A 13,872-nucleotide genomic window follows, 5' to 3' on the forward strand; every position below is an offset into this window, starting at 1 on the left:
ATTTACCTATGGTGGCAACTTTCTGCTACTTGCTTATATCAGTTTTCCAGTTCAGTAACCTTGACTAACTTTGGTATTCAGGCCATGCTCCAAAGCTGAGATTTTTTGTATATGTCATTTCAATACAGTTTGTAAATGGGCTTACTGATACATTTCAGACTGTGTTGGAAAATACAGAATTTAGATTTACCTGAAATTGGATGTTTAAAGATCCATTGCTATTGCTAATGCTTTATCCCAGGTATTTTTATAACCCAGCTACTTTTATGTCATTGTTTTGCTATATGTCAGCAAATTATGACTCATGTTCTATCACTGTAATTTCATTTGGTAATCTCAGTTTAAATTCATGACCACCTACATTAAGTGGACCCTTGATATTGCCATGCTATTCTGCTCATTCTCTAGTCAATTTACTCTCTCATTTCATAGACAACTATTTCTCACACCTTCTTCACTCATCTCAAACACTTCCTTCCCTATTATTCTCAGTGGATGGCTGGGTTTTCTATTTCACTGAGAATATAGAAAACATTAGAATAAATCAGCCACAAATTCTCACCACATCTCCCAAATTACCTTGTGCCTCTAACCCTGGACTCTGCCTTCCTTCCATTTGCTGTGGATAAACTGTCTGTGCTAGACCCACCTCCTCTTATCTACTCAAAAATATTACTCCAGCAATGGCCATTCTTTCTCCTGCATCATCCATTTTTCCCACTCTATTGAATCATCTCCACTGGCATATAGCCAAACTGTAATATCTTTCATCTTTAAACATCTCCCCTTGTTCCCACATCTGCCAAAAGCCACTATCTTATATCTATGCTCGCCTCTCTTACAAAATGCTTCAAAATACATGTCTGTACTCATTGCGCCCATACCTTTCCTCTGATCTCTCTTGATCTCTGTCCAGTTAGGCTTCTAATCCCATCACTTCTACCCATCAAAGTTCTTGTCAAAGGTTCTAGTGACCACTTCATTTTCTAACCCACTGATCGATTTTAAGTCTCCATCTTCTTTTGCCTGAGTGATATTTGACAGAGGTGACTCCTACTTACCTCGTTCACTTGGCTGCAGTCAATCTTGGTTCTCCTCTCACCTCACTCGCCCCTCCAACTTCCTTTGCTGGTCCCTCTTCATTTTTCTTTCCTCTAAATGTTGGAGTACCCTAAAATCTCATCCTTAAAATTCTTCCTTCCCTATCTCACTGTCTTGATTATGTCTCTTGGCATTAAATACAGTCACCTGGCTTTAATATCATCTATATACTTACAAGTAAAAAAATTCAGTCTCTGGCTTGAACTTCTTGAACTGCACACTCATATTTCCAGACAACTTTCTGACATCTCTGAATGGATGTCTAAAGAGCATCTCAAACTCAACATATCCAGAACAAACATTTTGGTTCCTACCACCATCGAACATTCTGAAACATCTTGAAAACTCAGTAAATAGCAAGCTCGTTATTTTAGTTCCTCAGGCTAAAAACCTTGCCATCATCTTAAGTCCTGTTCCCCTTACGTCCCACAACTATCCAATAGCAAATTCTGCTGACTTTTACTTTTAAAATATGTCCAGAATACATCCAGCTCTGAACACTTCTCTCCACTTCCCACAATCCAGTCCAGGTCTATGTCATCATGAAAGCTTCCTAATGGCTCTCCCTCCTTCTACCCTAGCCTCCTTGTAACCTATAGCCACACACAGTCAGAACTGTTTTTTCTTTGTTTGTTTGTTTTTTGCCGTGTAAGCCAAAGAATGTCACTCTTCTGCTCAAGACTTTCAGAAGGCTTCACCTCATTCTGAATAAAAGCTAAGTCCTTCCAGAGCCTAAGCCTCTCGTTTCCTACCCCTCTTTCCCTTTCTCACTATGTTCCAGCCTGTTTTGAAACACTCTTCCCCCAGATAGCTACCAACTTGCTCTCTCACTTCCAACAAATCTCTCTTAAATTTCACCTTAGCACAGGTACCTCCCTAGGCCAACCTATATACAATGGCACTCCCCATCCCCCACCATCTTTCTTAACCTGCCCCCTTTTTCTTTATATCATTAATTGCCACCTGACTCATTTTGTTTATGTGTATATTTCTGCCTCCTTCAACTACAATATAAGCTCCACAAGGACAGACCTTTGTTGTATTCAGCACTGTAAATCCAGTGCCTGGAAGAAATAGTAACATGTACAGCAGTAGCCATTCAATGAATATTTGAAGAATGAAAGAATTCAGTAACACATTACATTTGAAAGAATATTCCATTCATCAACAATGACAAAAAAAATAAATATCAGTTGTGCCAGCCACCTAAAGGAAAAGTAGAATTTAAATGAATCATCACTACAATGTTTCTGACGCTCTAGACAAGAATAGGAAACAAGCAAAGACATGAAATTGGAAATATTTGTGACATGTTTGAGTAAAATTAGGAAGCCAATTTCTTTACTCACAGGCTTCGCATATGGAAGCGAAAGATTACAGAGTTGGAAAGGTGGGGGCCATATGTGAAAGGCTAAGAAGCTGGGATTTGATTTCTCATCTCATAGGTTCTATTAGGAAACAAAGAGGATCCTCCTTCTTGGTCCCATCACATCCATTGCACATCTTAGTCTTTGCACTTCCCATTTATCATGTTAGATGTAACAATAATCGAAGGTCACATATGTGTGTAAACTTAAAGGATGTCTGACTCCACCAGAATGTGGAGTCAGACATCCCTTTTTTTCCCCTAGCATGGGAACTATGCCTTGTCTACAGTTTTCTTTGTTTTACACCCTTGCCTGGCATAGTAACAACACTTGAGTTGATAATCAGTATATAAGCCCCAACTATACATATTCATTTAGTTAGCTGAATGAGTGCACAGCTGGATGAATGAATTAAGACATTCACTAAGTGTTTGTTCATTTGAACTGAAAGCAGCTGAAAGTCCTTTACATGCAGAATACCTTTTTGATTTAAAATACATTAAATATACACACATATAAAGCAATAATAAAATGGAGATACTTTTCAAATCAACAATAATACAACTCACAGGCCATCTTAGCACGTAAGTGTAGAACAGCTCTGTGAGAATTCATCTTCAGCTCAGTCCAGGATGTCTTGGTAATTTACAGGACTCATTCTCCTTATGTTTGCATGAACCATAATGAAATTTGCCACCAAATGTCTTTGGATGTTTTTAATGAGAAAAAATGGTTGTGTTGGTAATGGCCCAGCTGTTTTCTTGCCTGGCACTGTGCCTTGCCTACAATAGGTACTCAGTAATAGTCAGTGGAATGAAGTGAGAGAGGGAAGGAATAAGTGAGGTCATGAATTTGCCTGCCTGTGTCTCAACCTTCCTGTATCTCAGCAGAGAATTCTATGCGGGAGGGGCTGTGATGATGGAAGCAATCCATCCTCCCTGAGGATTTAGCTTTTTGCTGCTCAGAGATGAGTTAACACTGACTAATTACCCAGCTGAGTGGTGACTGTGACTCATAAGTGAGGGGCAGATGGAATTTAGAAAGCAGAAAAACCAGGAGGGGAAAGTTTTCAAGGGTTAAGCTGAGGGTGAGGAGTCAGGTGGGCATGCGAGAAAGACAGAAACCCAGCTGTGGACCTGTGAGCCGGGGGCTAGGCCATCCCTTACACAGTGCCAAGTAGTACACAGACGCAGAGCTTAGGAAAGTGTCAGCGAATGTTTCCACAAGTGTTCCTTAGTCACCTCAAGTCTTCTGGACACATTCATCATCTTCCCTCCCATAGATGGCCCATCACTGTTCTCTGCAGAGTGATTCATTGTCAGGGTGAAAATCTTAGGAAATTGTCTTCACACAAAAAATCTGCTCCCTAGCTCAAAACATTCAGTAACTCCTCCACCCCAGGAGACACATTTTTTTTCTCCTATCCATAGTCTTCCATAGTCTTTTTTTTTTCAGTGATTTGTTTGATCACATACTACATATATTACCTTCAAGTCTGTGCAGCCTTTGTCTTTCATCCTGTTGAGCAGCTTTTCCCTCAACCTTCTTGTGAGCTTCTGTGTAAATCACTATCATTCTCTTTCCAAACACTGCATTTGAACTTAGTGAAGTGTAGCTGTTTCTTCTTTTCCTTCCTTTTTTTTTTTTTTTTTTGAAGGGGTGCATATTCTGAAGAAAAGTCTACAAATCATTCCTCTATCTAATTCAAAACCCAACGTGTCACTTTACAGTTGGGTTTCCTCAAGAGGCTCTGCCGTGGACCCATGGAGGATGGGATGTGCAGGTCCTGAGGTCACTCTGCGATGTGTCAGAGGAGAAGAGTAAGGGTATCTGGGATCATGGGGCAGGATTAATGGAGTCCAAAGGAAAAAAATGGCAGGCAGAGAGGGAGAATTCTGTGATTGGATGTGTCAGAAGTGGGAGAAGTATGAACAAACTCTGGGAGTGACTAAGAGAGAATCTGACTTGACACAAGAAGGCATTTTTTAAAAACTGAACATTTTTAGAGAAGCTATAAATTCATAGGGGATTTTTTAATATGGCAAAGATGATTTAGCCAATGTCCATTCACCCAGGTCCTTGTCCTTCTGTGTCTCTTTTTGCACATCCATTCATAGCAAGGTCTCTGGTTTGTTTATTCTGTTCTTCCCATTTCAATGAGATGTTAAGTATGGGCAAGTCATTTCACCTCTGAGGGTTCCCATTTCCTCAGCTGAAAAATGAGGGAAATGGAGGATTGCTTGCTAAGATCCCTTCTAGTTTGTCAGTTAATTGATGTTATCATGACAGGCATCCCCTGTCAGATCCCCAGAGTGACAAAGTGGATTTCTCACCACTTATTCTCTGATGAGCCCAGGAACCAGTCCCCTCCATGTTGGGGGCAGCCCCTGTGTGCATGTGGAGTTGAGCTGCGTGGATTCCAGTGCAAGACTCCCAAGGCTGAGGGGAGGGAAGGTTGTGGAGGGGAGTGATTAGAACTGACCTGAGTCTGAGGACAGGCTCTGCCGCTGCCCAGATGTGTGAGCCCTCTCACCGAGCCTCCCTGCTCCATCATGTGAGGCTGGACCACGGCAAGCCACATGAAGCACTCAGTACAGTAACCAGCACATGGGGAGCAATGAATACCTGTCACCTGTTTCCATAGTCTTTGTAATGATCATCATCATCACCATCATCATGAAATTGTCACAGCTTAAATCCAGGAATACTAAGAAGGGCTCCTGTCTCCATTTTGTAGAAATGTCAGACTTTAATAAAAAGAAATCCAGGGGAGCGTAAATTAGTTCAACCATTGTGGAAGACAGTGTGGTGATTCCTCAAGGATCTAGAACTGGAAATACCATTTGACCCAGCAATCCCATTACTGGACATATGCCCAAAGGATTATAAATCATCCTACAATAAAGACAAATGGACACCTATGTTTATTGCAGCACTATTCACAATAACAAAGACTTGGAACCAACCCAAATGTCCATCAATGATAGACTGGATTAAGAAAATGTGGCACATATACACCATGGAATACTATGCAGCCATAAAAAAGGATGAGTTCATGTCCTTTGCAGGGACATGGATGAAGCTGGAAACCTTCATTCTCAGCAAACTATCACAAGGACAAAAAACCAAACACCACATATTCTCACTCATAAGTGGGAGTTGAACAATGAGGACACATGGACACAGGGAGGGGAACATCACACAGTGGGGCCTGTTGGGGAGTGGAGGGTTAGGGGAGGGATAACATTAGGAGAAATGCCTAATGTAAGTGACAGGTTGATGGGTGCAGCAAACCACAAGGACACATGTATACCTATGTAACAAAACTGCGGGTTCTGCACATGTAACCCAGAACTTAAAGTATAATAAAAACAATAATAATAATAATAATAAAATAAAAAGAAATCAAGTTGGCTACCTCTTTTGAGTCTGTATATTTGGAGAGCTAGGCATGATCAGAATCTATGTGTATGTAACTGTTGCTTATGAAAATTAATCCTCCCCACCTCCCTTCATCCTCCATCTCAGGTGACAGACAGGGAACTTCTTTAAATTCTTGTCATAAGAGCTAATGGTAATAACATACTTTCAGATTTTTAAAACTGAAGCATAGTTTGGGAAGTCAGTATCTTCAAATATAACAGAAGGGTAGACTATAACATAAAAACACTCTACTAAAATTAAATGTTTATCAAGGGGAACAAAGAATGGGGATATTCAGTGAGTTACTTAAAAATGGATGTTGTAGTTATTACCTGAGCATGAAAATACAGAAGGAAAACATTAAGACCATTTTAAAGGAGTTTGGAAATTTAGCATAACATAGGCAGGAAATAGGAATGAATCATCATCTTCTTTTGTGGTTGTTCATAAAACATCTTGCAACCTTTGCTGGATTTTTTTCATTCTCCTAGGTGGTGGGGTTGAAACAAAACAAACAATAGAAATGCAACTTTTTGTTCAACAGCAAAGTCGGAGAGCAAACTCTTTGTCAAGGCATTTATTTTAGTCGATTATTAATATGTCATCTGTGAAGTTATTCTCCTTGCTCTAGGCTCGATCTTGTACTAATCCCTCTTCCTAAGACTATGCTGTGGAGCCCTAAGGAGTTAAAAGAAAAAAAAAGTGGGCTTAGCTGGCAGAAACAAAAATAGGGGTAGAGAGGAGTGAAAGTTCTGATTAATTAGGTCACCGCAAATAGTTGCACTAGCACCTAAGCATCCTGTTACAGCACCTCGCTCACAGCCCACCTGCACCCAAGCATTCTGTCTGCAAGCATTCAGCTTAAGCAGCACAACCTTATAAGATTCCCCTCCAGCCTCTGCCTCTTGGTAGACAGCCTTCTTTCTGCTATCTTGCCCACTGCTCCCTTGCAATGTATCTCCCTCTTTTCTCTGAATAAATTTGCCTTTCTAAACTCATTACTGTCTTGATAAACCCCTTTACTGCCTGTGCATTGGCCTCAGACAGTCATTGACCATGTCAGCACCTGCAACATGGTACCTGGTTGTCTTTTGATCCAGGGCCAGCAGAGTTTTTCCACATCACTTAATAGTTGAATATTTACTATTTACCTTCCTGGAATAAATATATTTTCCAGAGGCAAAGTATTCCATAACAAAATGACTTACTAGAGTTGCCTCCTCATATTTATTCTGAGTCCTTAAAGAGTTACTAACATTATTGGTGGAAGAATTAGATCATTGGATTATGAAGAGAAAAAAGCCCACCTTTTTTCCTTTTTCTTAGTTTCTGCTCTTTTTTAAAATTTTTTGACTCTTTATGACTCCCAGCAAGATTTCATAATCTGTATTATAATTTCAGTGTGCCAAAAATAATTGCTACATTTTAAAAGTAGAATTGGCTTTTCAAGTCACTATTATTTTTAATGCTCCATCATATTTTTATAAAAGGACCTATTATTACTTAGTCTCGCCATATTTCTGAATTTTTGAAAACTGTTTTAAAGGTGAAAAGATTTTTCTTGTAATACTTAAAGCCATTCTTCCTATTTCTACTGAGAATGTGAAATATGTATTTATTATCTATTTAAAGGAACACACCCTTTTCTGTCCTAAGAAAATCATGGAAAGTAAAATTAAGGATAAAAGCAGCTAAAGCAAGTTCACCACACAGAAAGCCTATTGGAAAGGGCTTAATGGATTGGACACTGACGTGATTAATGGCCAGATCCTTACATTGTTTCTATTTAGCCTTAAATATGCTGCCTAAAGTGTCTATGAAGGAGAGGTAAAGATGACCGACCCAAGACCAGGCGCTGTGGCTCAGGCCTGTAATCCCAGCACTTTGGGAAGCCCAGGTGGGCACATCACTTGAGCCCAGTAGTTCGAGACCAGCCTGGGCAACATTATGGCAAAACCCCATCTCTACTAAAAACACAAAAATTAGCCAGGTGTGATGCTACAACCCTGTAGTCCCAGCTAAAAGGGAAGCTGAGGTGGGAGGATGGCTTGAGCCTGGGAGGCGGAGGTTGCAGTGAACCGAGATTGCACCACTGAACTCCAACCTGGGTGACAGGAGTGAAACCTTGTCTCTAAAAAAAAAAAAAAAAAAAAAAAACAGACATACCCAAATGCCTGGAGAAGAATACCCCACCAACAACAATTCCCAGACAACATTTGTTTTAAAAGTATCTGCCTAGCATAAAGGAAAGAAAGAAAATTTGGGTTGGTGCTTAACTCTGAATCTTTAGACAGATTATATAATTTCTGTATGTGTCTGTATGTGCTACTTTTTACACTTGGAAACCCTGATGATTCCAGGTCTCCTACCTTTTTTCCTGAAACGTTATAAGAAAAAATTAGAAGTAAATGTAAGAGACCTGAAGGTTTTCAGAAATAAAAGTGCTGGAAATGCATCTGTACTTGGATGTCAGATTCATCTCCAGCTTCACGGGGTCAAAACCGTGCTTCCAGTCCTTCCTCATGACCCTACACCCCCACCACAGGCTTCTTGGTTGATGGAAAAACTATACCACCAGTTGCTCAGGCCAAAATGTTTGACATCTTTCTCTCAATCCATCACTAAATAATTGTCTAGTCTGCCCATCAAAGTATATCCAGAATCTGTTCACTCCTCACTGCCACCCTGGTCCAAGTCTCTGTATTCTCTCCTGATTTATCTCCTTGCTTCTAACCTTTTGCTCTCTCTCCAGTCTATTCTTAGTACAGCAGCCAGAATAACACATCAAATTGTGTCACTTCTTTGCTTCACATCTTCCAGTGGCTTCCTATTTCTCTCAGAGTAAAAGCTTAACAACGGCAAACAAGAACATAAAATTGGCCCAATTGGCCCACAGAATTGATATTTTAGGTAGCCCTCCCAGTCTTAAAACTTGAGAAAGTTACTTTGTCTTATCTAAGTTCCTTTTGCCAAAAATCAACCATCTGGCTTCCCAGATAGTATCCAGTAACTGAAACTTACCAGATCACTGCATCTGGACAATGAGGAGCCAGACCCCTCACCCATCACAATTGTCTAACCAATCGCCTGCTTCCTGTTGATCAACTCCACTTCCTTATCCGTGCTTAATTCCTGTTTTCCTGCATGTAGTTACATTTCTTCCCTGCTATATAAACCCCTGATTTTAGTCGGCGAGATGGATTTAAGACTGATCTCCCGTTTTCTTGGCTGCAGCACCCAATTAAAGCCTTCTTCCCTGGCAATGCATATTATCTCAGCAATTGGCTTTCTGTGCAGCAAACCACAGGACCCAGACTGAACCTCTGGTGTTTCAGTAACAGATTTTGGTTCCCTGACCTGAAAGTCTTTCCTTGTGTCTCAGCTACTGTGGGCCAGAAGAGTTTCAGAAGCCCTCCTTAGCAGCTGTTCAACCCTTTTTTGGCCAGAGGGGAGTCTTGGTCTCTCTCTCTCTGCAACCCCACCACTGCTGGCCCCAACCTTGTTCCTAATTGCCTAGGAAGAACAGCCTTTGAAACTTGACATCTGCATCCAGATAGGTGAGTGTCCTTTGTGGGCCCTGATAACAAGATCTGCTCCTCTAAATTTGGAAAAATTTTAAAGGAATTTCTGTATGCAAATTGACAAGCCCAATTACTGAGAGAGAGAAGCACTCTGACTGTTTCCATTTGGACACTCATGGAGGTTTGTGTGTAAATGTTGTGTGTGTGTCCAGGCAAGTGAATGTCTTTCGTGGGTACCAGACAACAGGATTAGCTCCTCTCAACTTGGGAAATTTTTAAGGAATTTTTGTTTGTAAGTTGATCAAGTCCAACTGATGGAGAGAGGAAGCACCCTGACTGCTTCAGTTTGGGTACTCTTGGCGCTTGTCTTTTGCTAAGGCAGTGAGATTGTGTTTTGATAATTATTTGTTTGTGCATTTGTCAATATAGTCATGGGAAATTAGAATTCAATAAACTGATATTCTTTTGTAATACTGTTTGGTCCCAATATTCATTGGAATCTGGAGTTTGCTGTTGAATAGGAAAGTAGGATGGAGTTCCATGTATTCAAGCTTTTATGCTGCTGTTCTAAGCACAGTTAGGCCTGGTCAGTAGGTTCCAGGTGGTGTTTTTCTGTGATGCTGTTTGCCCCCAGTGTTCTTTGGAGTCTGGGGATGTTTGCCTTTCCAAATCACACTACCATGGAAATTGCTTTACCCAAAATTCTGGTTCGGATCCTTCATTGGACTCTATCAGGACAAAGTTTGGCCATGTGAACATGTTCATAGACCAGTGAGTTTGTTTTGCTGTCTCATGGCTAGAATTCTGAAGTAAAAGCTATTGGATCTTTGTTTGTATGTGTGTGTGTACGTGCATCTGGATGTTGTGTTGCTTTTATAGGATACCAATATGGCTTATAAATAAAAGAGTGCTCATAAATAAATAAGTCCAAGCAATTTTTAAGTTCACATGATTTAAGTAAATCTTTAATTTAAAAGCTGGCTTAAAAATTATTGGTAAAATAAAAAAATAGAAATGTCTTCAGAAGAAGGTCCAAATGATATGGACAGGACACAGGGAAATACTGGGTAGAAGAGGGTGGTTCCCCAGCAAAGACCCCACCCTCAAACCGAGAAACCTGTGGCCCTAAATAAGGACAGGCATTCCTGTTTTTGTGCCCAAAAGTTGCCTTCTTGCCCACCATGCCCCCCTATCCTGTACTCATATAATCCCCAGACCCTAGGCTCCAGCAGCAGGAGACAAGCAGACAAACAGAAGAGCAGAAGAGTGGCAGAGAAGGAGAGAAGGGAAGGAACATCAGGAGGAGTTCAGCTGGGGATGGTCAGAGAATCAGCACTGGATGGCCAAACTCCAGGGGAAGATCGTCTTCCCACTCCATTCCATTTCCAGTTCCCCATCCAACCTGCTGAAAGCCACACTCACCACCAATAAAACCCCCACATTCACCATCCTTCAAGTCTGTGTGTGACCTGATTCTTCCAGGACTCTGGACAAGAGCTTGGAATACAAAAAGCTGTCACACTGGCCCTCTGCCCTTGCAAAAAGGCAGAGGGTTCACTGAGCTGGTTAACACTTAAACTGTCCATGGATGGAAAGGCTAAAAGAGTGCATTGTAACACTCGCCCACTTGGGTTCTAGGGGTCACAGATTCCCACCACCGGGCACTGCAGTGGGGCTGGTGCTCAGCATCCCAGCCCCTGCCCTGTCCATCTGTGTGTTCCCCCTCCCATAAGTTGTTTGAGCGGTGGCATGACTAAATAGACAAGCCACACCCCTGTTGCACATCCTGCTGGGGGGGGGGTCAGGGAACTCTCCATTTCACAAGCATGTCATAGATGGTCTGTGTAAGTCATATGTAGTGTTTTTCCTGTTTCTCTGTGTGTCTGTCATCATACACATACAAAGAAATTAGAAAGTTGAAAATATTTAGATAGTAAAATTTTATTTAAAACCTGACAGAAAATTGGAAAAATTTGCCTAATTAGCATATCTCATAGTTAAAGCTCTTAGTCTTGATGAAGGTAAAATAAGAAATATTATAAAGAAACATATTGGTAATTTGGAAATTCTTTTTAATATAGTTAAGCATAAATCCATATTTAGCACAGAGTCAAATTTCACATGCATGTTTGCATTGCTATGTTTCACACTGTTTTTGCTGTTTTGCATAGATACTACTAGCACTAAAATACTTATCAGTCACATGCCTGAAGTAAATTTCTAAATTGCACAAAAGCTATAGTGGTGTTGGTGGACTTAAAGACCTTAATTTGTGTACCAGGAACAAAATATCTGTCATGTGTTTTTAGGCTCTGAATAACACTGCAGCCTCCAAGGTAAATCTAGTAGGATAAAAATTTGAGGTTGGTTTCCTATTTATTTGTTCTTTGCTCCTAATTTTCATTTATTTGCTGTTTGTTCTCCTTTGGATTTTACTTCTAATACATGTATAAGACCATTGTTTTCAAGTTTCTAATGGAAGGCTTTTATTTGGTTCTATGAACAGTGATTTTGTTTCCTATGCATTTTGAACAATTCATCATTTGTTCATTTTATCTAAAATTCCTAAGCTACCTTTGTCAAGCCTCCCAAAATTGGTAGAGCACACCAACTATTTAACATTTGATGGGGTTTGCTCATCTCTGACAACCTATAGAGCTAGGAGAGCTTTAAGGTTCCAGGCAATAAATAAATTTTTAAATGCTTATTTTTATAGGTTCTGAACAGAAATAGCACATTATTTTGTTATTTGAAAAAGTAAGTGAGGGGCAAGGCATGGTGGCTCATGCCTGTAATCCCAGGACTTTGGCAGGCTGAGGCAGGCGTATCACTTGAGGTCAGGAGTTCAAGACCAGCCTGACCAATATGGTGAAATCCTGTCTCTACTAAAAATACAAAAAAAAAAAAATAGCCAGGTGTGGTGGTGCACACCTGTAATCCCAGCTACTCAGGAGGCTGAGGCAGGAGAATCACTGAAACCCAGGAGGCAGAGGCTTCAGTGAGCCAAGATGGTGCCATTGCACTCCAGCCTGGGTGACAGAGTAAGACTCCTTCTCAAAAAAAATAAAAAAAGAAAAAAAAGAAAACAAAAAGTAGGTGAGAATAAAAATGTTTAAATGGTGTCTGTTTCCAAGGTAATTCAATTCAATCAATAATTTCAGCTGGTTTCAGATCTTTTCCTTTGGGTAATGAGGAAAATCTATGACTCAGGTACAAAGTTTTAATGTTCAGGAAGGATTAGCCTTGTCCTTAAAGAAATTATACTGACTTGGATTTCTCTCAAGCTCCTTTACTTGTAATTTACCATTATCAAAATTAAGTGACATTCACTTAGATTAAATAGCAATAAAAATATGAGACTTTTCAGTGATTTTTGATCCCAAGCCTTTTATCACTATTGGGCCTTCATGTGTGTACTTGAAAACAAAATATAAACATGTTCCACTGGCTAGAAGATTCTAATGGTAAAAGTTACCTAAACAGTTGTCAGTACTGTATCTAGAAACCAATCTCAAAAATGTGTGATGATGCTCTTTTTAAAAATAGCTGAAAAGAAATTGTGTGTTTCTTCTCATTTTGTCTTTGTTTTGTTTTCAAAACTGATATTTGCATTTACCATTTTTTTAATAATGGAGAGAAAAGTTCATTGTTTACTTTGATGAGTTTGACATAGGACCTATCACTTTATGTTTTTGGTCACAGTTCTGTCACTAGCAATGAAACACATGCAATGAATAATTTAACTAATACAGTGTTTGAAAGTGCTGCAGCCAGTGACTACTTGACACCAAATCAGTGTTTTAATTTGTGACATGTTAGAGAAAATACTAGCAAGTTCTGCAATATAAGTGTCCTATGAACTAATCCTTGTGCTGTTAAGTTACTGGGCTTTGACTCCTGGGTCTGGAAACGGCACTGACTCTTGCTAAATATTGAACATTGACACAAGTCAAAAGCTCATCTTTAGACCCTGGAAAAGGTGACAATCAAAATGAACTGTTTTCATGAGACACAGGGCCAGAAATTAAAACTGTTCAGTCTCTCTAGGCCCAGGGACTATTACAGAATAGGTGAACACATGAGTTTGTCAGGGCTGATTTTGAGGAATAAGATTAATTCAGAGTTTTTCTGTAAAGTTAACATTAATATCAAAAGTACACAGATGCAAGGCCAGCATCTGGGCCCCCTGTGTCAGAGTAACAGGGTTTTCTTGGAACATCAATCTACTCTTTAATAGAAAATTGTAAGTGTTATAAAAGGTTTATGGAAATCCTACTTTATGGTCAAACTGATGCAAATTAGATAGATTTGCTTATAAAGTTTCATTAAAATGAACTTTAACATTGGTAGTATGCCATATAAGGGTAAAATTTGATTTTCTCTTTGAACGAAATCTTTGTGTAACATAAATGAGATAATAAAAGATTTTTGTTTACCTTGAGTAAACTGCAGGGGAAAAA

Source organism: Homo sapiens, chromosome 12, assembly GCF_000001405.40.
Source record: "Homo sapiens chromosome 12, GRCh38.p14 Primary Assembly".
Lineage (NCBI taxonomy): Eukaryota > Metazoa > Chordata > Mammalia > Primates > Hominidae > Homo > Homo sapiens.